At 37.7% G+C, this 26,684-nt stretch overlaps 1 protein-coding gene across 4 annotated transcripts in view, besides 1 other annotated feature; it reads left to right on the plus strand.

Moving 5' to 3' along the window:
- The window catches only part of NYAP2 (neuronal tyrosine-phosphorylated phosphoinositide-3-kinase adaptor 2), a 305,716-nt gene that overhangs the window by 143,940 nt on the left and 135,092 nt on the right, over nt 1–26,684 (plus strand). The window lies entirely within an intron of this gene.
- Nucleotides 16,622–16,822: a silencer, noted in NCBI's record as "peak4061 fragment used in MPRA reporter construct". NCBI's record gives its function as "represses an SCP1 promoter by STARR-seq MPRAs in K562 erythroleukemia cells {active_cell/tissue: K562}" and the evidence as "EXISTENCE:reporter gene assay evidence [ECO:0000049][PMID:32103011]".

The following is a 26,684-nucleotide window of genomic DNA, read 5'->3' on the forward strand; positions in this document are numbered from 1 at the left end:
AATATGGAAATCTTAACATTATTGATCCTTCCAATCCATGAACATGGAATATTTTTCAATTTTTGTTGTCTTCAATTACTTTCATCAGTATTTTACAGTTTTCATTATAGAGATCCTTAATTCTTTGCTTAATTCCTAGGTATTTTATTTTATTTGTAGCTATTATAAATAGGATTACTTTCTTATTTTTCAGATTGTTTGCTATTGGCATATAGAAATGCTACTGATTTTTGTATGTTCATTTTGTATCCTGCAACTTTACTGAATTTATCAGTTTTAATAGTTTTTGGTGGAGTTTTTAAGGTTTTCCAAATGCAGGGTCATATCATCTGAAAACAAGGATAATTGAATTTCTTCCTTTCCAGTTGGATGCCTTTTATTTAGTTCTCTTGTTTAATTGCTCTAGCTAGGACTTCCAGGACTATGTTGAATAACAGCGGTGACAGTGGGCCACCTTGTCATGTTCCAGATCTTTAGAGGAAAAGCTTTTAGATTGTCCCCATTCAGTATGACACTAGCTGTGGGTCTGTTGTATACGGCTTTTCTTATGTTGAAGTATGTTCCTTCTACACCCAGTTTTTTGAGTTTTTTAAATCATTAAGGAATGTTGAATTTTATCAAATGCTTTTTCTGCATCAATTGAAATGATCATATGATTTTTATCCTCCATTCTTTTGATATGATATATCACATTAATTGATTTGCATATGTTGAGCCATCTTTGCCTCAATGGGATAAATCCCACTTGGGCATGATGAATGATCTTTTTAATGTGTTGTTCAATTCAGTTTGCTAGTATTTTGTTGAGGATTTTTGCATCAATATTCATTAGAAATATTGGCTTATAGTTTTCTTTTTTTGATGCATCTTTGGTTTGATATCAGGATAAGACTGGCCTCATTAAATGGTTTTGGGAGTATTCTTTTCTCCTTTATTTTTCAGAATAGTTTGAGTGGAATTGGTATTAGTTCTTCTTTAAATGTTTGGTAGAATTCAGCAATAAAGCCATCAGGTCACAGGCTTTTCTTTGTTGGAAAAATTTGTGTTATGGCTTTGATCTTATTACTTGCAATTCGTCTGTTCAGTTTTTGAATTTCTTCATGGTTCAATCTTGGTAGGTTGTATGTGTCTAGGAATTTATTCACTTCTAGATTTTCCAATTTATTGGTCTATTGTTGCTCATAGTAACCACTAATAATCATTTGAATTTCTGCATTGTTGGTTGTAATATCTTCTTTATCATATCTGATTTTATTTATTTGGGTCATCTCTTTTTCTTTGTCTAGCTAAACAAAATTGACACACCTTTATCTTTTTAAAAAAACCAACTTTCTGTTTCATTGATCTTTTTGCATTGCTTTGTTTGAATTTCACTTATTCCTTCTCTGATCTTTATTATTTTTTTTCTGTTACTAATTTTGGGTTTGGTCTACTCTTCCTTTTCTAGTTCTTTAAGACACATCTTTAGGTAATTTATTTGAAGTTTTTCTTTTTCTTTGATGTAGGTGCTTATAGCTAAAAACTTCTGTTTTATGACTGTTTTCACTGTATCCCAAAAGTATTGGTATGTTCTTTCCATTTTCATTTGTTTTAAGAAATTTTCCAATTTTCTTCTTAATTTCTTCTTGGACCCACTGGTCATTCAGGAGCATGTTGTTTAATTTCCATATGTTTGTATAGTTTCCAAAGTTCCTCTTTTTATTGATTTCTTGTTTTACTCCATTGTGGAAATTGTGGTCAGAGAAAATGCTAGATATTATTTCAATTTTTTTAACACTTAAGACATGTTTTGTGACCTATCATATGGTTTGTCCTTGAGAATGTTCCATGTGCTGAGGAGAAAAATGTGTATTTTTCACCTGTTGTATAAAATGTTCTATAAATATCTATGAGGTCTATTTGTTCTATAGTTCAGATTAAGTCCGATGTTTGTTGACTTTCCGTCTGGGAGATCTGTCCAAGGCTGAATGTTGTGTGTTGAATTCTCCAGCTATTATTGTATTAGGGCCTGTCTCTCTCTTTAGCTCTAATAATATTTGCTTTAGATATCTGAATGCTCCAGGATTAGGTGCATATGTATTTACAATTGTTATATCCTCTTGCTAAATTGACCCTTTCATCATTGTATAGTGACCTTCTTTGTCTCTTCTTATAGTTTTTGTCTTGAAATCTATATTTTCTGATATAAGTCCTGGAAATAAGTTCCTGATATAAGTATATGGCTATTTCTGTTTTTCTTTGGTTTCCATTGGCATGGAATATCTTTTTCCATGCCTTTATTTTCAGTCTATGTGTATCTTTATAGGTGAAATGTGTTTCTTATAGAAAGCAGATGATTGGGTGTTTTTTTTTTTTATCCATTGAGCCACTCTGTGTTTTGATTGGAGAGTTTAATCCATTTATGTTCAATGTTATTGTTCATAAATAGGGACTTACTCCTGCCATTTTGTTATTCATTTTCTGGTCTTCTTTCTTCCTGTCTTCCTTTTAGTAAAGGTAATTTTCTCGTGGTAGGATTAAATTTCTTGCTTTTTTGTGTGTGTGTATTTGTTGTATGATGTTTAATTTGAGTTACCATGAGGTTTGTAAATACTGTGTTAGAACCCATTATTTTAAACTGATGACAAAACTAATTGGATAAATGAACACTGAAAAAAGAAAACTTTCTGAAAAAGAAAACTAATAAAAACTTTACACTTTAACTTCGTCTCCTATTTTTTAACATTTCGTTGTTTCTCTTTATGTCTTGTTGTACCGTCTATGTCTTGAAAAGTTGTGGTTATTATTTTTGATGGGTTCATTATTTAGCCTTTCTACTTAAGATATGAGTAGTTTATATACCACAATTACAGAGTTATAATATTCTGTGTTTTTCTATGTGCTTACTATTACCAGTTAGTTTTTTACCTTCATGTGATTTCTTCTTGCTTGTTAATATTCTTTTCTTTTTGATTGAAGTAGTTACTTTAGCATTTCTTGTAGGACAGGTCTGGTATTGGTGAAATCCCTCAGCTCTTGTTTATCAGGGAAGGTTTTTATTTCTTCTTCATGCTTGAAGGATATTTTTGCTAGACATACTATTCTAGGGTAAAAGTTATTTTTTTTCCTTCAGCACTTTAAATATGTCATGCTACTCTTTTTTGGCCTATAAGATTTCAACTGAAACATCTGCTGCCAGACTTATTGGAGCTTCATCGTATGTTATCTGTCTCTTTTCTCTTGCTGCTTTTAGAATCCTTTCTTTATCCTTGACCTTTGGAAGTTCGCTTTTAAATGCCATGAGGTAGTTTTCTTTGGGTTAAATCTGCTTGATGTTCTATAACCCTGTATCTGAATGTTGATATCCTTCTCTATGTTTGGGAAGTTCTCGGACATTTTCCCTTTGAATAAACTTTTTACCCTTATCTCTTTCTCTACGTCCTCTTTAAGGCCAATCACTCTTAGATTCGCCCTTTTGAGGCCATTTTATACATTTTATAGGCATGCTTCATTGTTTTTTATTCTTTTATTTTGTCTCCTCTGACCATGTCTTTTCAAATAGCCTGTATTTGAGCTCACTAATTCTTCTGCTTGATCAATTCTGCTATTAAGTGACTCTGATACATTCTTCAGTATGTCAATTGCATTTTCAACTCCAAAATAGCTACTTGATTTTTCTTAATTTTTTCAATCTCTTTGTTAAATGCATCTGATAGAGTTCTGAATTTTTTCTCTGTGTTATCTTGAATTTCTTTGAGTTTCCTCAAAACAGCTATTTTGAATTCTCTCTCTGAAAAGTCAAATATCTGTGTTTCTCCAGGATTAGTCTCTGGTTCCTTATTTAGTTTGTTTGGTGAAGTTACATTTTTTTCTGGATGGTCTTTCTCCTGTCGATATCTGTTGGTGTCTGGGGATTGAAGAGTTATGTATTTATTGTAGTCTTTGCAGTCCGGGCTTGTTTGTGCCTGTCCTTATTGGAAAGACTTTCTAGGTATTTGAAGGGATTTGGACATTGTTATCTAAGCCCTACTCGTGTTAGGGAGCACCCTAAGCCCAATGATGCTGTCATTCTTACAGACTCATAGATGTACTGCCTTGGTGGTCTTGGATAAGATCTGGAATAATTCTGTAGATTACCCAGCTCTCGTTCTCTTTCCTTACTTTCTCTCAAACAAATGAAGTCTATATCTCTGTTCTGAGCCATCTGGAGCTGGGTATGGGGTGACACAAACACCCCTGTGGCCACCACCGCTGGGACTGCACTGGATCAGACCTGAACCCAGCAGAGAATTGAGTCTCTCCTAGGGCCCATTGTAACCACTACCTAGCTACCACCTATGTTCACTCAAGACTCTAAAGCTCTACAATCAGCAGTTGCTGAAGCCAGCCATGTTTGCGTCCTTCCCTTCAGGGCGACAAGTTCCGCTGGGCCCCATGTGAATCAAGAGATGCCACACGGGAGCCAAAAACTGGAGTCAAAAATCTTAGAAATCTACCTGATGCTCTATTCTACTGTTGCTAAGCTGGCACTCAAACCATGAGAGAATGTCCTTTCCATTCTTCCCTTTCCTTCCCACAAGCAGAGGAGCCTCTCCACATGGTTACCACAACCACAGATCCACATGGTGGGTACTGTCAGGCTACTGCCGATATTCACTTAAGGACCCAGGTCTCTTCAGTCAGCTTGTAGTGAATGTTGCTAGGCCTTGGATTTACCCTTCAGGGCAGTGGGCTCCCTTCTGGCCCAGGGTAAGTCCAGAAATGCCATCCAAGAACTAAGGCCCAGAATCAGGGACCCCAGTGGTTCACTTGGTACTCTGCCCAACTGTGGCCAAGCTGGCACCTAAAATGAAAGACTAAGTCCCCTTTACTTTTCTGTCTGGTTTTCTCAAGCAGAAGGAGTCTCTCCCTGTAGCCATCACAGCTGTGAATGTACTGGGTTCCACCTGAAGACAACATATCTCAAAGTATCACCCCAGGCTGACCTGTTCTACCTGCACATTGCTGCTGGCTCTTCAGGGCCTGCAAGCTCTTTAATCAGCAGGTGATAAATCCTTCCAGGACTGGGTCCTTCGTTCAAAGCAGTGGGTTTTCTTCAGGCCCAGAGTGTGTCTAGAAAGGTCATATGGGAACTGGGGCCTAGAAGGGGGTCTCACAACTTTGCCTGGTGCCCTATCCTATTGTGGCTAAGCGGGTGTCCACAAAGCTAGAAAAAAGTCCTCTTTACTCTTCCCTCTCCTCCCCTCCCACACAAGGAAGGAATCCCTTTTGTTGCCGTAAGCTGCACTGCCAAGCAAACCATTAGGTTTCCTGATTCTGGACCTTAGTTCTTGAATGGCATTTCTGGACCTACCCTGGGCCCACTGGGTAGCCCACTGCCCTGAAGGGTGAGTCCCAGGCCTAGCAATTTACTCCACTATTTAATTACATGGCATAAGCACCCCCTTGGACACCCCGGCTTGTGTCTGTCTCACTAGATCATGTGCCCTGCAAATCCACTGGCTTTGAGCCCAGGACAGCACTAACACTTGCTTAGAAATTGCAGTCCTTGTGGACTACACTGTCTTTCAAGTTTATTAAGGACTCAAGAGCACGTTAGTCTGTAATGGTGAGGCTTGTGGGATCTCAAGTTCTGACTTCTGGGATGGATGATTCCCTATGGCTAGGGCTGGTCTAAATGCGCCCTCTGGGCATCAGCCGAGTTTAGCCTGGTTTTGCTTTCCTCTGTGATAGGACAGCACTGAGTTCAATGAAGGAACCCACAATCACTATACTCTCCTTCTGCCAAGTCCACGGATTCTTCATGCCATGTGGCCACTGCTGGGGGATGGGGAAGAAGTGGCATCAGCAATTCAACACTGTCTTTCCCACCCTCTTCAGTGCCTCCTTCAGTGATATGAAGTTAAAACCAGGTGCTATCATTGCTCACCTGATTTTTAGTTCTTATGAAGGTGCTATTTTGTGTGTAGACAGTTGTTACATTTGTTGTTCCCGTGGGGTTGGGGTGGTGATGATTCTATTTAGCCATCTTGCTCCACCCTCAAGCTGTATATTCTTGAAGGTCTTCCTGTTCTTTATATCCCTACTATATTTCCTGAAGCTCACTACATGAAATACATATGCATTGAAGTTGGCCCTCATTTATTTAAAAAGAAAGTTGCAAGAACTAATGTTAAGTCTACTAATTAGAGATACATTAGCTAATAATAGTTCATTCTTACAAACTAATTTTTACCATTATATACCAACTTAAACATGTTACTAGTAATTACTTACCCCACTGGAGCAGTTTTTGAACTGAGGAGATGTTGTCTGTGGAAAATTTTTATCTGGAGAAATATTTAACATTATTTGTGACATTTCCCACTCCTGTAAGCACAATAAAAGCCACATTTTATTCATACTTTTAAAATATGGAACATAGTTATTTTTCCTTAACTCTTATAGTCAAGAGGTCCAGAGGTCATCATACTAGATACGCAAAATTCTTTCTGATTCTTAATCTTCTAGAACTCCCTGAGATAAGCATGACATGTGGATATACTTTTATTAATACTCAAATTGTAACCAAATATAAGTATTTACAATAAAAATGTCTGTGTATTAAGCAATGTACCCCACTATCCTATTACATAATGCTATGTGTCTCTGGAGAGTTGGAGGTTTACTGGGGATGTCAAGTGTCCTGAAACTCTAAAATTATGCTCGGTGGGAGCAAACGAAGAATGCAGACAGAAGTAAATGAAAGTAGATTTTATAGCCATATTCTGTAGGAACATTGAGAGGAAAAAAAACTTGAAGACATCTGATAAGGAAGGGAATAAACCAGTGCTACCACGAGAATCCACAATTGACAAGAAAAAGGTTCTACATTGGGAAATGCTTCTGAAAACATTTATTTCAAACCTAATAACTTTTCATTCTAAGGGACAACTTTGAGCCAACTTGTTTGGTTACCTTGAAATAATCTGATAAAAAAGGCACTGAATGGTTTTTGTAATAAAAGTAAAATTTCTCAGAATGCAGCAATTTTTTTTTTTTTTGAGGCAGGGTCTTGCTCATTGCCCAGGCTGGAGTGCAATGGCATGATCTCAGCTCACTGCAACCTCTACCTCCTGGGTCAAGCGATCCTCCTGCCTCAGCTCCCCAAGTAGCTGGGACTATAGGCATGCACTACCACAGTGGCTAATTTTTGTATTTTTTAGTAGAGACAGGGTTTTGTCATTCTGGCCAGGCTGGTCTCAAACTCCTGGCCTCAAGTGATCCATCCACTTGGGCCTCCCAAAGTGCCAAGATTACAGGTGTGAGCCACCATGCCCAGCCAGAATGCAGCTATTTGAAATAGTTTTCTCTACTTCCAAGAATGAGACACAAAACCTATTTCCTAGTTTATAGATGTGCTTTATCTTGTCTCTACTTAACATTTTAAAATTTGTATTGTAATTATCCATTTACGTATCTGTTTCCAACTCTAAACAGTGAACTCCTATAGAACAAAATTTATATTAATTGAATATAGTGTTTGGTGTTAGTAAGTGCTCAGTTAAATGCTTTTTGAAAGCCTGAGTGTGTCAAGCAAAGCTCGTATGATTCTAGATGGAACAAATGAATACTTGATGGAGTCATTGCTGATGGGAAAGATCAGTGTAAAGTACTGGGTTTCAGATGGCTGTGCTTGAGATGGTTGCTTGTGGAGATGGAAAGTAAACAATTTGATATATTTCTCTGAAAGCCTAGAGAAAAAAATTTGATTGTCATTAGAATAAAGATGACATTTAGCTATCGAGTTAGACAAAATCACCTTGGGAGAAAATGCAGTAGATGAGAGGGTCTAGAAACAATCCATGTGGGCGGTGGCTCATGCCTGTAATCTCAGCACTTTGGGAGGCTGACGTGGGTGGATCACCTGAGGTCAGGAGTTCAAAACCACCCTGGCCAACATGGTGAAACCCCCCTGTTTGTACTAAAAATACAAATATTAGCTGGGTATGGTGGCGTGCACCTGTAATCCTAGCTACTTGGGAGGCTGAGGCAGGAGAATCACTTGAACTCAGGAGGCAGAGGTTGCAGTGAGCCGAGATTGTACCACTGCACTCCAGCCTGGGCAACAGAGTGAGACTCTGTCTCAAAAAAATAAATAAATAAATAAATAAAAAATAGAGAGAGAGAAAAAAAAAGAAAACAATCCATGTGAACCTCAGGCTCAGTCAAATGTAAGAGAACAAGCCAAGAAAGGAAATGGAGAAAAAGGTCAGCAAGTCAGAAGGAAAACACAAAGTATTTTAAAAGCCAGGAGGAAAAAAGTCATTAAGATATGGCGACCAGAAAACATTTCTCATCAGTAAATGTCTAAAATCTTATACACATGGATGGTCCCCTTAGGATGTGCAAAAGCAATACTCATTCAGTAGAAACTACACTTCTTTGAGTACCCATATAACCATTCTTTTTTTTTCACTTTCCTTACAGTATTATATGAGATATTACAAAAAGATAGAGTAATCAATGGTGACAAATCATTGAGAGCTTAATTAGGTTGAGGACAGAGATGAATCTATTAGATTTGGCAATATTTGAAGGCATTGGTGATCAGGGAAAAATAATCTCAGACGTGGTGGAGGCGTAAGCCAAATTGGGGTGGAGGTTGAAGAGAAAGTGAACTGTGCGGAATTAGAGAGGAGGCAAACATAATTTTTTGAGACAGTTGCCCATAAAAAGAAGTAGGGAAATGGGTGGCAGCTGGAAGGAGATGAGGGATCAGGGTAATGTATATATAAAAACATTCTTGTGTGAATTATGGGAGGAATGAAACCATGTTAGAATGGTGATAAGAAAGATCCAGAGAAGAAAGAAACACTGATGAGTGAGAGAGGAGATAACCAAAGGAGGAAAGCCCCTGATAAGCTGTCAAATAATAAGAAATAAAGCCCATCAGGGCCTTTGATGAGATTGGAGCTTTTTCCAATGCAACCAAAGAAGGGAAAATGAAGAACCGGCTGTAAATTTTGGTTTGAGTTTTATTGGGTGGTGAAAATAAGAGGAAATTTTTATTTAGTGATGTTCTAGTTTCCTGTGTGCAATGGAGAGCAGCTGAATAATATTACAGAAAATTAAAGTAATAGAAGACTCAGGCTATTATCCATTATAGATATGACTACAGCCCATGCAGTCACACAGCACTGGCCCAAAATATTATGATTTTCCAATTCCCATAACGGGTCTTACTTTTCATATTTCTTTCCCAACTCACATTTAACAGATAATAATGGTTTATTTTAGAAAATAGAAGAAACCTGTGACAGCTACTTTAGTGACCCCTAGTGAATTTCACCTTCTGGTATCCTAGTATAGTCTCTTCCACGTCCACTCTGGCTTTGGCCATATGATTTGCTTGGCCAATGGGAAATTAGCAAATATGAAGCAAACAGAGGCATGATAAATACTTGCATATCAGGTGTGAGCCTTGGAAATGTTTGCTCTTGGAAGCCATTGCCATGCTGTAAAGATAGACTGTTGAATCCCATAAGACTACATGAAGTGAGATGCTAGAGGTTGGAAGACCTCTTCCAATCAAACTTCCAGTTGAATGTAGTAGCATGAGAGACTTCAGCTATACCACATGGAGCAGAACTTCCCAGATGAACTGAGACAAACCCCAAGGCAGTGAGAAATAATAATTCATTGTTGAGCCATAAAGTTATGGGGTGGTTTGTTACATAGCAGAAAAGTGACACTGTAATGTCTATCCTTTGTAGGCTCTTTTGTTCTTTTTTTAAGAAGAGATCAACCCATCAAAATAAATTTAGATGTTTATTATGTACAGGCCAGTATATTAAGGCCTAAGAGGTTGATAAAAAAGGTATTGGACACTGGTCTTGGCCTCAAACATTTTATTTGAAAGGTTGAGGCATATACACAGTAGTTGCAACATCTTTCTTCCATTATGTGGGCATTAATTGCTTTTCTTTTTTTGAGATGGAGTTTTACTCTTGTTGCCTAGGCTGGAGCGCAGTGGTGCCATCTCGGCTCACTGCAACCTCCGCCTCCCGGGTTCAAGCAATTCTCCTGCCTCAGCCTCCCAAATAGCTGGGATTACAGGTGTGCATCACCACACTCAGCTAATATTTGTATTTTTAGTAAAGACGGGGTTTTACTATGTTGGCCAGGTTGGTCTCGAACTCTTGACCTCAAGTGTTCCACCTGCCTCGGCCTCCCAAAGTGCTGGAATTACAGGTGCGAGCCACTGCACCTGGCACTTCTTTCTTTTTGATTCATTGTTCTTATTATTTTGCCTCATTTGTCCAATTTCATGGAGCATTGTCCAAAATTCCCTCAGATTTTCAAACTTTTCTATTTGCTTCCTCTATTAGACCATGCCCAGTCATAAATATAAAAACGATACATGATACTTGCCACTTGAACACATAGAATTTCATATAAAGAATGAAGTCAACAAATATAGAAGGACTAAAAAAGCAAAAAGGAGACACAGAGGTAACTCAGGAATAATAACTTCATGAAGAGACTACCATCCTGTGATGGACTGACTGTTTATGTACCACCAAATTCATATGATGAATTCGTCATCCACAATGTGATGATATTTGGAGATGAGGCCTTTGGGAGGTGATCAGGCCATGAGGATAGAGCTCTCATAAATCAGATTGGTGCTTTTATAAGAAGGGAGAGCTTTCTCTCTCTTTCTCTCTCTCTCTCTCTGCTCTCTACTGTGTGAGGATACAAACCAGGAAGAGACCCTGACCAGAACTGACCATGCTGGAACCCTGATTTCAGGCCTCCAACTTCCAGAATTGTGAGAAACAAGGTTTTGTTTGTTTGTTTTTGTTTTTTGAGACACAGTCTCGCTCTGTTGCCCAGGCTGGAGTGCAGTGGCGTGATCTCGGCTCACAGCAACCTCTGCCTTGCAGATTCAAGTGATTCTTCCTCAGCCTCCCGAGTAGCTGGGACTACAGGCACCTGCCACCACACCTGACTAATTTTTGTATTTTCAGTAGAGACAGGATTTCACCATATTGGCCAGGTTGGTCTCCAACTCCTGACCTCGTGATCCACCTGCCTCGGCCTCCCAAAGTGCTAAGATTACAGGCGTGAGCCACCACCGTGCCCAGCCAACTTTTTGTTTTTATCAGCCACCAAGGCTATGGTACTTTGTTATAGCAGCCAACACAGACCAGGACATATCCCTGGCAGCGAAGGAAAGAGACTATCAAACTCCAGAAGCTTGCAGGAAGGGCCCTAACAGCAAGGCTTGTGGAGCTCTGACGGGACGTCCCTGCCTGGCGGCGGCTGCTAATTCTGAAACATAAAGAAGCTGGTTCTAGGACCACTAGAAGAACCTGGAAACTGGAACCAAATGCTACCACTATAGTGAAAACAAGTAGTAAACCAGGAAGAAACAAGTTCCCCCTAGTTCCCCCTCTCTCTTCTGAGTATTCTACTTTCCTCTAGGGCCTCTTCCTCCTCTAACAGGGAGCACCTGGCACAGAATAAACAAGGTTGCAGAGTCCCAACTCCAGAATCACAGGGCTGAACATGGAAGGATGAGATGGAAGCTGAGGAGCAAAAGCTGAATAACCAGCACAGTTTTTTAATAACCATCTTTGCCATTTTTCTCTTCAGTGGTACAAGGGAGAAAGAGAGGAAGAAAGGTTAGCACAGCCAAATGGAAGCTGACTTTATATGTCTTAATCATTTGCATTGAAAATATGTGATTACAATAGCTTCAGAGAAGGATCGGACAAGTGTTCTTTATTTTTTGTTTTCATGAACATAACCACTGTTTTAAAGGTGCTGATATCAAAAAGTATATGTGCTTTCCATTTCTGGCTTAGGATGACCTGGAGAAGTATATCAACTTTTATCAAGAATTCAAAAAGAGTCTGGGTGCATGGCTCACACCTGTAATTCCAGCATTTTGGGAGGCTGAGGCGGGTGGATCACATGAGGTCAGGAGTTCGACACCAGCCTGGCCAACATGGTGAAACCCTGTCTCTACTAAAAATACAAAAGTTAGCTTGGCATGGTATTGCTACTCAGGAGGCTGAGGCAGGAGAATCGCTTGAACTCGGGAAGCAGAGGTTGTAGTGAGCCGAGTTTGCCCCATTGCACTCCAGCCTGGACTCTGTCTCAGAAAGAATTCAAAAAGAAAAGATGAAAAAAGTATTTCAAAACAATTAAAAAGGTTAGATATTTAGTTAACCCATAATGATTTGGTCCCTTACATTCATTACTAATCCTTTTACATACCAGTATTTTCATTTTTCAGTGGCAATAACAGCAGCTAAACAATATATATTCTAAAGTAATCCAAGGTGTTGTTATTGTTGTTGTTTTTTTTTTTTTGCTTCTTTTCTCCTATGGCCTTAGTATAAACTATTTATTTGTATTACAGAAAAATTTCCCAATCTAAAACCATATAAAACTGTCATCAGAAAACATTTATCTTTTTTTTTTTTTTTTTGAGACAGAATCTCATTCTGTCACCCAAGCTGGAGTGCAATGGCACAATCTCAGCCCACTGAAACCTCTGCCTCCCAGGTTCAAGAAATTCTCTTGCCTCAGCCTCCTGAGTAGCTGGGATTACAGGTGGGCACTACCACACATGGCTAATTTTTTTTTGTACTTTTAGTAGAGACAGGTTTTGCCATGTTGGTCGGGCTGATCTTGATCTCCTGACCTCATGATCTGCCTGTCTCAGCCTCCCAAAGTGCTGGGATTACAGGTGTGAGCCACTATGCCCAGCCTACATTTATCTTATATAGAGAATAAAACAGTGGTTACCAGAGTTGGGATTGTAGGGATTGGGGGAGGGGCAAAGGGAGAGATGATGTGGGTCAAAGGATATGATCTAATGTACAACATGAAGACTACAGATGATAATAGTGTATTATATTCAGGAATTTTGCTAAATAAGTAGCTTATAGCTTCTCTTGCCACAAGGAGTTGAAATGAGTAACAATGTGAGATGATAGATATGTTAGTTTGTTCCACTATAATAACCATTTTACTATATATGTATATTTTAAATATACATGATAAAATGTATTTTATAAATAAAAAATAACAGCTAATGAAAAGATTATTGGAATTTTGAACAGCATTTGTGAAATAATCATAGCTTTCTAAATGCAAGATTATAGCAACATACAGAAACTTCAAGCATTTTCCAGTTTTTCTTCACAGTTTTCCATCTTTATTATCTATACAAAATATGTTAATACTTTTGAATGATTTTCAGAAAATAATTCTGAGACTGAAATCATCATATTCAAGCTTTTTTTCCCAGAAGGATTTGTGTTTTGATCAACCATTTGGAAGGAGGTGTGAGCAGCCAAAATAAATATAGGCTAGGGTGGGAGGAGAAAAACAAGCGTTTTGTTTTTTATGTTTTAAAAATATATTCTGTGCACCTGAGTTGGGTTTTTGCTTTATTTCATTTTTCTTCCCTTTTTCAAATTACATATAGGTAGGGGCAAATTTGGGCTAATCAATAAACAACTTTCTTTTCCCTCTCCTAAGACTGTTTTTTTTAGAGTTGCCATCACAACCGAAGATTCTATGTTGTTAAAATCTCTTAGTGATAGTCTCAGGTTAATACATTAGAAGGTAATGACTGCTTATAGAAACAACAGAGCAGCAAATCCATAACATGTTTGATTTTTAGGGATCACCAGTACCTCCAGATGTGTGACCCATCCATCTAGTTTTCAATGGTAAATGTGCAACTAACAGATCTGGTCCCTGTGCCAACCAATGCCTAAGTAGGCTTTCCTGAACACACAGAAGGGGGATCACTGCCTTGTCAGCCTGTCTAAGCCCGATTAGCTCTCCTCCTCTTCTTCTGCCCAGTAAAAACAAGAGTCCAACTCATTTAAAGCTGAGATGAGGACAATAGGAGTCCTACAATTTCCAGAATCACCTTGAGAGCTGGTGAGGAACACAGATGGAAGAAATTGGTTGGGGATGCTCCTCTCTACCTTCAGTTCCATTCACTTTGGGCATTGAACATCTAAATATTAGTTAAGTTGTGCTCCCCTGCACCCCTACAGATCCTGACACTATACCCCATCAGTTCTTACCCTGCTCTGTTGTTTCTATAAGCAGTCATTACCTTCTAATGTATCATATAATTGACTTATGTATTATGGTTGTTTATTGTCTAAGTCCTACTAGTATACATACTCTATGAAGGCAGGAGTCTTTTTGCCAATGGAGCCTCATCAGCTAGAACCTCTGACTCTCTGTTCCATTTGTTTATAGGAATGAATAGAAAATGTTACCATATTGGAAAGCTTGCTTTTTTCTTTAAAGTAAACTTTCTCTTCTGAGAAGCATTCCCTTAAGTGGACATAAACATTTTCTGATTCTGAAATAATCCTGCACATATACGATATACTTACACCATATACAATATAGCATATACAGGTATAATCATTATTTAATAGATATAATTTTATTACATGTTAAACATATTACATAGGCTATTACCAGCTGTTGCAAACTCAATTTTACTGGCTTAACAAAATACAAATTTCATTATTGTTCACGTAATAGTCCAAACGTGGGTGTTTTTGGTCTGGAGTGGCACTCCCCCAGGTGATAATTTAGGCATCTAGACTTCTTCAATGTTATGGCTCTGCTGTTCCTTGAGCTCCTCAGTCATTAGTATCCACCTGGATGAAGCAAAAGAGATGGCTTCTTAATTGTTTTGACCATCTTGGTTACTTCAAGTAACACACATCACTTCCAATATTATTCTATTGATCAGAACTGTCAAATGGCTCCCCCTGGGTGCAATAGTTTGTACAGTCTCTGGTTGGCAGCTACTTCCTAGGAACAGCTCTACACTATGGTAGGGGAATCATGAATTTTAATGGATTTTTAACCATTTTCTGCTATATTTCATGATCAAGCTTTCCTGTAGCATACTTCCCCATTGACCAGCTGTATTAGTGATACTAATGATTATAACAGTGTGCTGTTATAATTATGCATAACAGTCAGAAGAATATAATGGCTAATGCATGTCAATATCTTTGGCTGTGCTCAACCTCGGACCATTGGTCATGTTCAGGTTTACTTCAAATGTCTCTCTTTCTGAGGCCTAGACTAAGTAGCAACAGCACTTGGGCCACACTTTTCTCATGAGCATGGTTGAAAGAGGCCAAAGCAAAACACACATATCTAAATTTTTAGATATAGAACAGATTAGCTCTGCTCTAATTTCATTGGTCAAAGGAAGTATTATTATCTACATGGGAAATGTCATCTGGAATGCTTGTTTTCTCCATCTGTCTACTTAATAGCCACCTATTAAAGATTTACAAAATCTTGCCATTGTTTAAAGATTTGTTTACCTTCTGGACATCAAATATCCTTTTTCTGTTCCTTCCATCCATCTATCAATCCATCCATCCTTTCATAAATTATTTAATGCTTGCCTTCTATGTGTCAAGCATTAGTTTACACCATGAAGATATAGCATGAATAAGATCTTCAAAAGGTCTCCAATTTCATGAAGCTTTTATTTTATTTTTTATGTATGCATGTTTGTATGTATGTTTGTATGTATGTTTTTCCAGGACTACCAAGCAAGAATGGAGCTTATGTTTTAGTGGAGAAAATAGATGTGTGAGACAAAACATAAATATAATTTCAGATATTACTATATTATGAATAAATGGAAATAGGGAAATACAACTATATAGAGGAAGGAGCAACATTAAATAGTTGGTGAGGGAGAACCTTTCTAAATAATTGAGCTGAGAATAAAACAGCCATGTATTTATAATCAAATATGTCATTCTAATGAGGGTCACAATACCAAAAGAATCTGTTAAGCTTCTCCCTTTTGTTTTATTTCATTTTTCTCCCTGGCATCCATTTATCATGTTTAAGTTGTCAGGTTAATATAAAAAGGGCTAAGTAGAATAGACTAGGCTGATTGCCAGGGTCTACAATGTGCCCAGTTATTTTAAAGTTAGGTGGAATCACATTGTTTGGAGGGCCTTTATGTTTCTAACAAAGCTACAATTAAGGAAGTAAAGTTGAATAATGTTGCCCAATGCATTAGAGTACAAATTTAAAAGATCCAGAGAAAAATGAACAAGGATCCTCAGAAATATTTCTCCCTTTCCCTGGTTTTTCTGCTCTGCCTGTGTACTGCTTTGGGGATTGATTGGTTCGATCCTATGATATGACCCTCCAGGGAGTGGTCTGGCTGTGGAGGAGGGCTGGATCTGTCAACTAACATTCAAGGTGTTTTGCATTATTAAGAACTAGCCATGGATGTAATAAAGTGAGTATTTGAGATTTCCAACCTTAGCTTCATATTAATCTCTCATTGCTGCTATAAAAGTATGTGTATCACAAACTTAGTGGCTGAAAACAATACTTGTATTATCTAATAATTCTGTCTAACATGAGTCTCACTGAGCTAAAATCAAGGTGTCAGCATGTCTATATTTACTTTTAGAGGCTTTAGGGGAAACCCTTTGTCCATTTTTCCAGCTTCTTTAGCTGCATATACTTCTTGTGGAAATCAGTAAATGATAGCATTTCTGATTGGTTTATGACCCCCGTCCTCCATCTTTAAAGCCCAGCAGCGACTGGTCACATTCTCATGTCGCATCTTGCTCACTCTGCTTCCACTGTCCTCTCTCTCCAATAACAGCCAGGGAACAGGTTCCCTGTTGTAAAGATTCCTGTGATTAGACTGGACTCATCTGGACAATCCAGGCTAATCTCCCCATCTCAAAGTCCTTAACCATAATCACATCTGTTGAGTTCTCTTTGCTTTGTAATGTAGTCACAGGCTGCAGGTTTTAGGCTATGGACATTTTCGGGGGGTGCCATTGTTCTATCTTCCATAGCTTCTCTTTAAATTTATGGTTGCAGCTTCCTCTACGATGAGAGGCATCACCAGACAGAGCCATTCTGTAATGGGATTAACCTGATTTCTGGGAAAGGGCAAGAAGAACACTCATGTTTTCCTATCACTATGATACAACTTGGCTTTTGACAAAGAACTCCATACATCTGGGGGCTGAGTACACTGTGACACGTTACCAGAAAGCTCCAGCTTGTTTACTTTGGGTAACTGGAGTTTTAGTCACTCCTTGAGGATATTTTATGACAACCTGGAGAAATTGTTTTTATTATATTAGGAGGTGGAGGCTGTCTTTTTTCTCTCTCTTCCTCTCTGTTTATGTTTTAGAATTATCCCCTTCTGTCCTTTTGATGGATTTGAAATTGTTCCTGGGAGGAAATGCTGGTGATAATTCTAATTTCAGCTGCTCTTGCTCTGGGGACTTATTTGAGTCTTGTCTTTGATATTGTGCTTCTCTAATCATAATCCTGACTTTCTGAAATATGAGTGTCAGTAGAGAAAAAGCTTGCCAACTCCATCGCTCATTTATCATGGAGAGGATGCTTTTAAGGAAGGTCTTAAATGAAGGCATTGTACAAATGCCAAAAAAAAAAAAAATGTGCTATGTCTGGGGATTAGGAGAAGCTTCCCATTGTCTGACCTCAATTAGAAAAAGCAGAAATATTTCTAAGGATTGCTTCTGAGATGCCTGAAGTGGCTTACTGGATATTGGAGTTAACTCTCTCCTAAGCTGAAGATTTTTGCCTTTAGTGATCCAGTAACCTCATTCCTTTACTTCTTTTCAGAAACTCCTCATGAATTTTTGTAGGACACTCTCCTCAGGACCCATGGTTCGATTTAAACCTGTTTTTACTGGAAGTGAGGAGAAGTCATTATGTATCAAATAAATGGAAGGAATTTTAAAAGCTCTAAAAACACACAAACAAAATATTAAAATATTAGATTGAAATGAAGTGGGGCTTTCAATTTTTTTCATTATACTCCCAAAAGGAGCTTTATAAGGTATATTTTTCCTAGTCACCCTACCATAAAATTTTAATGCTACAGATATACAATATATCTGTTCATGTGCTGTATATATATATCTATGCTTTATACATGAAAAGAAAGAGATATTTTGCCCCTTTCCCAAGAACCAAATTTCATCCTGTTGGAGAAGATATTGCCTGCATTAGGAATGCATGATGTAAACTGAAGGGGCATATTTTACTTTATCTCCTCCTCAATTTCATATTATAGTTGCTTATTTTAAAAGTAAAGCCTCATTATCACAAGGAGATCATAATATATTACATATGCAAAAAAGAATATGTAAAGAATAGCCATTACCCACCTCCCTTTCCAAGTCATAGACAAATTTTTCAATCCATCAAGATACCTTTCTATACACTTACATATATATGCATAATAGACACTTACTTTACAAAAATATAATTTTGTAAATGTTGACCATTTTTTCTATGCCAATAGGCATATTATCACAACATTATTTTTATTGCAGAGTACTTTATTGTATAGTTATAAGGGTCTTGTTAATTTAGATATACAATATTCTTCTCAGATATTTATGTTGTTTCTAACATACTTTGAGAGAAACACTATGACATAGAGCATACCATATCTTTGGACATATCTTTTCAAATATGACTGAATATTGTCTTGAGATCCATGCCTGCAAGTACAATCTTCCAGGCAAGGACATTGAGCTTTTCAAAGAATTTGATACATGATGCTAAATTGCCCACCTAAACAGCTTGGCTTATTTTAAAGAACCATAATCATAGCAAAATTTGAATAGGCTTTGGTAAATTCAGTGGGATCTTTCCTATCAATAGTATATTGCATTTATATCCAGATGATTGGGCATATTTTTAGAGGGTATAATTGATCAATTGGAACAGAAACTCTGGCACAAGCAGGAGCTGGAAGGATATTTGTGATGTGCTCAGAATTTTACATGTGTAACTTGGCTCAGCAAAACTATAGGGGCTTGGGGAAACAAAGGAGCAGGGAAAATGGTTTTAATCCAAGTTGGTTTTTGTTTAATCCATTCTAATTTTTATTATTTTAAAATTGTCCACATATTCCATCCTAGCTTTTATAAATAAATTTGCTGTAGAAGTCAGAGATGGAAGAGATGCAGGCAACAAAGGACCTTTCCAAAACGTTTTTTTTTTTTTTTGGTGGCTTCTCATGAATTCATCAATTCAACAAATATTTATTAAGCAATTAGTCTATGACAGGCATTGCTGCAGGCCTGGAGCATGCAGCCATGCCTAAAAACAAGTCTCTACTATCGTGGAACTTATGTTCTCGTGGGAAGAGGCAGCGATATTACAGTAAACATAAGTAAATATGATGGCAGTTAGTGACAAGTGCTATGAAGATAAATAAGTAATTAGGGGGACGACAGACAGGGGGATGACCATTTTGAATAAGGTGGTCATGAGAAACCCTCAGTGATGAGGTGATATTTGACCTGAATTGAAAAGAAGTAATGAAGCAAGCCATGTACATCGCTGGGGGAAGCACATTCCAGACAGAGGGAAGAGTTAGTACAAGGTCTGAGATTACAGCATGCTTGGCAGTTAGGAATAGGAAGGAAGCCAGAGGTGGCTGGAACAGAGTGAACCTGGAAGAAAGGCACAAAAGATGAAGTTGGAAGGACGGGCAAGGGTTAGTCAACTCATGGCATTATAAGACCCACTAGGGATTCCATGTGCCTCATATTTTGAGGCCATTCATTCAACACATATTTTAAAGTTCCTGCTGTACTCCAGGCCCTTGGATAGACAGTGGGTATCTACAGGGGATAAAGACAGGCAGGGCTGGCATGGAGTAAGCATTCCAGGGGAGGAAACACAGAGGCATAGAGGCAGCTATAGTTTATTGTGATCATGCTATTATAGGTGAAATAGAGGCTTTAGCTGGAGCCCAAGAGTAACAATTCACCCAGATAGTTGCAATGTAAAAATCAGTATGTTTTTAATAAAATGATTCTTTTTTATTTTAGTAGCCTGCACATATCATTCTATATTTCTGTATTATATGTATCATGTTATGTTGACAGTAAATGTTAAATCATGTGCTCATCTGGATGGGGTCCTGGAATTAGGGGCTATATATTTTTTTTTTCATGTTTGCTTCAATTCATGGCAATGAAATCAAGAGGAAAAAGAAATCACTGAATCTGGCTTCCTGTCTCTCAAAAAGTTCTGGACCTAACTGGAACTTAGTTAAATGATTAGAATGTTAAGAAAAGCTCACTGAAAATCTGGAAGACAGAGTGGGGCAGGAGGGAGTGGGAGCTGCAATTTGGATCCACTGGTGCTTTTCCTACTTGTTTTGTCAGTTGTGAGTCTCACTTGCTGGTAAATAGTTAGAAATTATATGTGTTTTGTTTCCCCTTTAAATGGTAAATTCACTGGGGGAAAGAACAGTTTCTGCTATTGCTTTGTGTGGGCATATGACAAATGACACACAAATGAGGAAAAACAATTCTTCCCATTGGAATCTGTTCACAGAAATACATAGAAACATTCTAGAAATCCAGGGCATGTGGCTTCCTGATTGTTCTAAGGGCACTTACTGTATGTGTTCAATGTCTCAATTATCTCTATGAATTTAGGAATTTCTGTTATTGTTTTAAACGGCTTGCTGGGGTATGCCCTTGAAAGCTTTTATTTTCTGGTCTAAGTACTGTGTACTTAAGGGTGATTGTGGGAGAATTTTAGGACATGGGTTTGATTGCAAAGGATCCATATCTCCAAGGTAACACCAAAATTCCTATTGGCTGAGAACAATTTGTCTTCCCTGCCTGGGTTTTTGTGCTATTTGAAAAGCATTGTAAGGGCAAATTTGCTTGGAACATACAGAGTCGAAGTGGAAGAGGCTGCACTATTCCCAATTACCTCATGCACTTGTTCTGTATAGTTTGTACCTGCTGAGAAACCCAGGACACCACCCCAAACCTCGCTCCTGTTAAGATTAACTTCCTCTCATGTTAGAGCTTTCTACTTGTGCGTTTCCAGCATCACACTACTTTATAATTGTTTTGTCGGTACCTAAATTGCCAGCTTAGCTCGGGTGTACTTTGACAGCATCTTTTCTCTTACTTCAATAGTGACAAGCTGTTGCAGATTATCACATTATCATTTGTCCTTCCTATTTGGATAAGATGTCTGATGATGAGACAAGATCTCCCCACTTACCCACTTCATGGCAAAATATTTCTGAAATGAAATTAACAAAAGATGTTTAGAAGGAATGAACAGTGTAAAAGTCTGCATCTTTTTATGTGTAACTTTGCAAAAGATTCTAATTTTATTATCAAGCAGGCACTGTGCTTGGAGCTGGGGCTCCAGAAGTGAGAGAGACAAACACAGTCTCTCTATCTAAAGGAGAAGGACATTAAGCAAGCAGTAACACAAATAAACATGCACCTAGAGATGGTGGCAAGAAACAGGGGAGGGTTCCAAAGAAGATTATTCTTAGATTGATTTTCCAGAGAAGAGGTCCTTGAGTGAACATTAAACTAAGACTTAGAGGTTAAGTAGCAAGGGAGGCAGGGGAGTGAAGAGAAAGGTCTTCCAGCTGTAGGAAGCATTTGACAAAAGAGCCTGGTGTTGGGAAATCACTTTTTTCGTCTGAATCACTGAAAGAGAAGCCTCTGGCTGCAGGGAGTTATCAAAGGGGTGAGCATTGTGAGATGTGGCTGGAGAAAGAGAGGGAAGCCAGGTCATAGAAGGCTATGTGTACTGTAATAACTATGGGAGAACATTGGAGGGGTAAAGGAATGGGTTCGTGACATGGTCACAGCTAATTGATTACAGTATTTACAATTTTATATATGAAGGATCTTCATAGTGATCACAAAGCAGAACATTTCTTGATATATAGGAGGGAGAGAGAAGGAGAGAGAGACATACATGCATATATGCATGCATACACATGTGTTTGTGTATCCATATTCAAATTCAAATTCAAATTTGAGTTTGAAAATGTACTTTCAAATTAGTTTTAGAGTGATTTCTTTAAATTCCTGTTAATATTACTCAAATTGTCTATGTGTTGAAGTTTAATTTTTAGGTTAATATCCCATCCTGACTTTGAGTTAGATGTTTAAGGTATGACTTGGGGGTGGGAAAAGCCACACGGGGAATAATCTGTGGACTGTAATCTGAGAATATTGCAGACTGGGTGAACTGTAATGTCTCTCTCCTTTCTTATAGTTTAGACTCAGAATCCATGTCATCTTGATGGCATTTATTATAAAGAAAACAAACTTAGATCTAAAACTAAAACCAAAGAATAGCCTCTGAAGTTTTCATAACTATTTAAATAATAATAAATTCACAAATAGCCCATGACTCCAGCTAAGGCAAGGAAGACTAAGGTCTCCTTGGGGATGTTGCTTCTGTGTGGCCCACTGTGGTCCTGACTCTTCAGAGCCCTGTCTCTGAGATAACACTTTTCCCTGAAATTACTGTGGATTAAATAGAACCTCCAAATAATGTGAAAAAAAAGAGCAAAACTGATTTAAGGCCTTGAGTTCAAAAGTCAAGGATTAGATTTTTCCATTGTCCACTGCTACTTCTGCTTGTGTTGTGTTTTTAGTAACCCCTAAGAGCTCAGAACCAAAAAATACCAGTGTCTGGTCCCTGTGGTCAGTGAGATTCTAACATGGATCAAGCTACTCTGTCCTAGACGAAACCATTTTCCTCATCTGAATATAGAGAAAGGTAAACAGAACTTACATAAAAGACCAACTAAAGAGTATTGGGTCATTGGGACTAAATTAAAATTGTGCACAAACAAAAAAATCTTTTCTCTTTTCCCACCTAACTCTTCAAGAATGAAGGTACACTGCATGGGGATAATAGAACACCTGCAATATCTGAAGGTGAACTGCATAAATATAAAAAAAAAAAACATGCTCACTATCTGCATGTCCTCATAATGAGCCATCTCAGTTTTTAGAAATATTCTCTATTTTTTTAACAATCTAGTCACACTTTTCCTAAATTTGAGAAGTATAGAAAATAACTCACCAATGTAATTTTGTAAAACCTAAGGGATATATCTATGGCATGGTGGCTCACTCCTATAATCCCAGCACTGTGGGAGACCAAGGCAGGTGGATCACTTGAGGTCAGGAGTTCAAGACCAGCCTGGGCAACATGGTGAAACCCCATCTCTACTAAAAATACAACAATTAGCTGGGCATGGTGGTAGGTGCCTGTAGTCCCAGCTACTTGGGAGGCTGAGGCAGGAGAATTGCTTGTACCTTGTGGGGCAGAGGTTGCAGTGAGACAAGATCATACCACTGCATTCCAGACTGAGCGACAGAGCAACACTCCGTCTCAAAAAAAAAAAAAGTTTTAATAAAAATTGTTAATCTGTTGAATTTTCTATTGTCATGCATATGCTGTGATTTACTCCACTTTGTGATTTTTAGTTGCACCTTCAATTAAAACTCACTTAAGGGAAATCATTTTTAAAAAACTGATAAGAAAACTAAGATTATCAATACTAAAATGGTAATATCCCAAAAGTTCCAGTAACTACATATTTTTAAAACACATGTTGCTTTTTTTGTTCAAAGTAAATCCATTTCTATTACCTTCACATACATGGGCTATAAACCTAATGCAGAAGGAAACTGACATATTGGTCTCATAGTTCAATGAACATAGAATCTGTATTTATTGGCAAAATCACTCATTTTACAATTTCCCAGAGCTGGTAGATTCTTTGGTATTGGCAGCATTAATTTTTATAGCTCTGTGATAGATAAATGTGAAGTATGTGTAAAAGCATATGCTCTCCTATCTTCCAATGTAGTCAGAGATAATTCTCCATGTATAGCAATAATAATTGATAATGATACTTGATTCTACATTTTAAGCCCTTCCTATATCCCAGGCAGTATGCTAAATACTTCAGGTAGAATGTCTTTTTAAATCCTCACATGCATATATGAATAAGCATCATTATATCCATTTAACAGTTGAGCTCAACAAGGCTTCGTAAAGTTAGAGTTGACTTTCCCAAGGTTATACAACTACTAAATTGGGATTCAAATTCAGACTAATTTGACTTATGGAAGAGTATTGGTAGTGTTTTAAAAAACGGTAAAAAAATGCCCTTAACAATATATTTGTAAAACAAATATGCACCATCATATATAGAGGCAAATTAGTCTTTTTGACAGTATGGTGACTAGAGCCAGCTCACCCATGTTCACACAGTTTCTGCCACTTGGACAAGTAATTCAATTTCTCTATAACTATATTTTAATGTCTGTAAAACAGAGTTTATAATTGTACCTACCTCATAGGGATGTTGTAAGGATTACATGAAATAATCCCCCCAAAGCGCATTGTCTGATACAAATAAAGCATTTGATAAATAGTGGCTATTATTATGCATTATTATCATTATTACTATTATTACTGAAGTTACAGTTCCACTAAAGGAAATGTTAGCACACAACTTCAATGAAGTTGGATGAAATGTTTTATGGCTGTGTAATTCCATGCTGCTTCCTCTGTGATCTCAGGTACTTAAGAAGATCACAAACATTTCTGTCTTTTTATCACAACCAGGACAGACTTCCAAAGGATAATCCTCAGTAGACTGTATCTATGAAACGGCAGGGATTCAGCTTCTACAGAGTTGACTGCCCCAAGGACAGGAGAAATGTTCCAATCATTAATCGGATTTTTCTCCCAACTTACTTTTCTTTAAGATAATATCCCCCTGGGTTGAATCCAAATTAATTGTGCTTTTATTGGGTGCTTAGCATCATGCATTTTCCATGGACACTTTTGTGCTGTCACATTTCTTTCCCTTAAGACTTAGGAAATCAACTTGGTAACTTCCTTTCACTGTAGGTAGAAATTCTGCAAGTGATAGCTACAGTGAACTTGTAAAGAAAACTTGCTGATGGCTTCAAAATATTTGGGCAAAGAGAAAAAAGAGTTATCAACCACTGGTTTAATAGCTCAGCAATCCCTAAGTTTTAAATGTGCATATTGTTTTCCTTAGCTTGGACTTCTAGTGTTTGATTGACCACTGGGTGGAGGTGATTGGCATGCTGAGATAAAACCACTCATAGATCTCTCGGTTTGAGGAACTTACAGTAATATGTGTGTGTGTGTGTGTGCGTGTGTGTTTGCATATACAGTCATGCATTGCTTAACAATAAGGATGCTTTCTGAGAAAATGTGTCATTAGGCAATTTCGTTGTCATGGGAACATGATAGAGTGTACTTACCCAAACCCAGACGGCATAGCTTTGTACACACCTAGGCCATAAGGTAGAGCCTGTTGCTCCTAGGCTACAAACCTGTATAGCATGTCACAATATTGAGTACTGCAGGAAATGGTAACACAATGGTAAGTATCTGCATATCTAAACATATATAAACATAGAGAAGGTAGAGTAAAAATATGGTATTATAATCTTATGAGACCACAGTTGTATATGGGATCCATAGCTGACTGCACCCTTATTATGTGGCACATAAACTTTCATTAAAGAAATGAAAGTGGAGGAAAGAAAAAAAGAAAATTTGAAGGGATATATAAGAAAGAGATTTGAAAACTTTGAATCATTATACACTTATAGTTTATTATCCCATGAACAGTTATTTATAGTAATTATTGATTGATTGCCTATTGGGAGCAAGTTGCTGTGTACAGTTTGCTGGGACTTTTAAAAAGATAAATTAATTCTCCCTTCAGAAAGCTCATAGCCTTTGAGAGAGAAGCTGATAATCAAGTACAAGGTAAAAATGAGGAAGTTCACAAGAAAGAAAGAGATGAAGCCCAAAGTGAGGGGCAGAGGGTGGGGCAAGAAGAAGAAGAGAAGGAGGAGGAAGGGGAGGAGCTGGTGATGTTTGAGCTGGACCTGAAAGGATGGGAAGGGTCTTATTTAGGGTAGGATGGTACAAGAACAGGGGAAATGTCTCAGTAAAGTCTGAACATACACATATCTAATAAGTGTGTGGAACAGTGGTAGTTTGGTTTGGCCAGAGTGAAGGGCATATGAAGAAGCCAAGGGGAAAAAGGATGGAAACTATTTTGGGTTATGATCAGAGGTCTGGCATGCTATTAGAGGAAGAAAAATCATACTGGCTGTGGCATATTTTGCAGTAATTCTTTACTACTTCAGAGCAATCCCACATGGCATCACTTTCATACATAGGAAGGATGAGAGTTATGAAGGAGTTTTAGGATATTTTTATTCCCTATATTGCTAGTGATAGTCTTTCAAATGGTCTTGCTATATTAAGCTTTATAACTACACAGGAGGTTTTTTGCCAGAAAATGATTGTTTTAATCTCAAATTTGTGGTCTGGGATTATGCTTACAAAGTCATTAGACCTTAAGTGTTTTATATATTGCAAAATCTAACTTGTGATTTCCCTCTGCCCTGTCCCTTCATGCCTTCCCTTGACCTTTACTTAAAGTATAAGGGAACTGAAAGAGGAAAATTTTAATTTCTCAGTTAATTTTTCTAACCTTTCTTTTTGGCAAGTAAAATATTTAACCTGCCTCAATTTTTCCACATGGATAATGTTGAGTATTCCTTCACTGACCACTCTCACCACTCTCCTTTTATTTATTTTGCCATTATTACCACTCTTTATTAGTCTCATCATCCTGCTTCTTCAAGACTATTTGAGGAAATGACAAATTATAGGGGTGCTCATGACTCTTTAGTGTTATTACAAAATACCCCAAATTCTGAATGCCGATTCTAATACTGTCAAAGGTCTATAAGTCACTC

Source organism: Homo sapiens, chromosome 2 (genome assembly GCF_000001405.40).
Source record: "Homo sapiens chromosome 2, GRCh38.p14 Primary Assembly".
Classification (NCBI taxonomy): domain Eukaryota; kingdom Metazoa; phylum Chordata; class Mammalia; order Primates; family Hominidae; genus Homo; species Homo sapiens.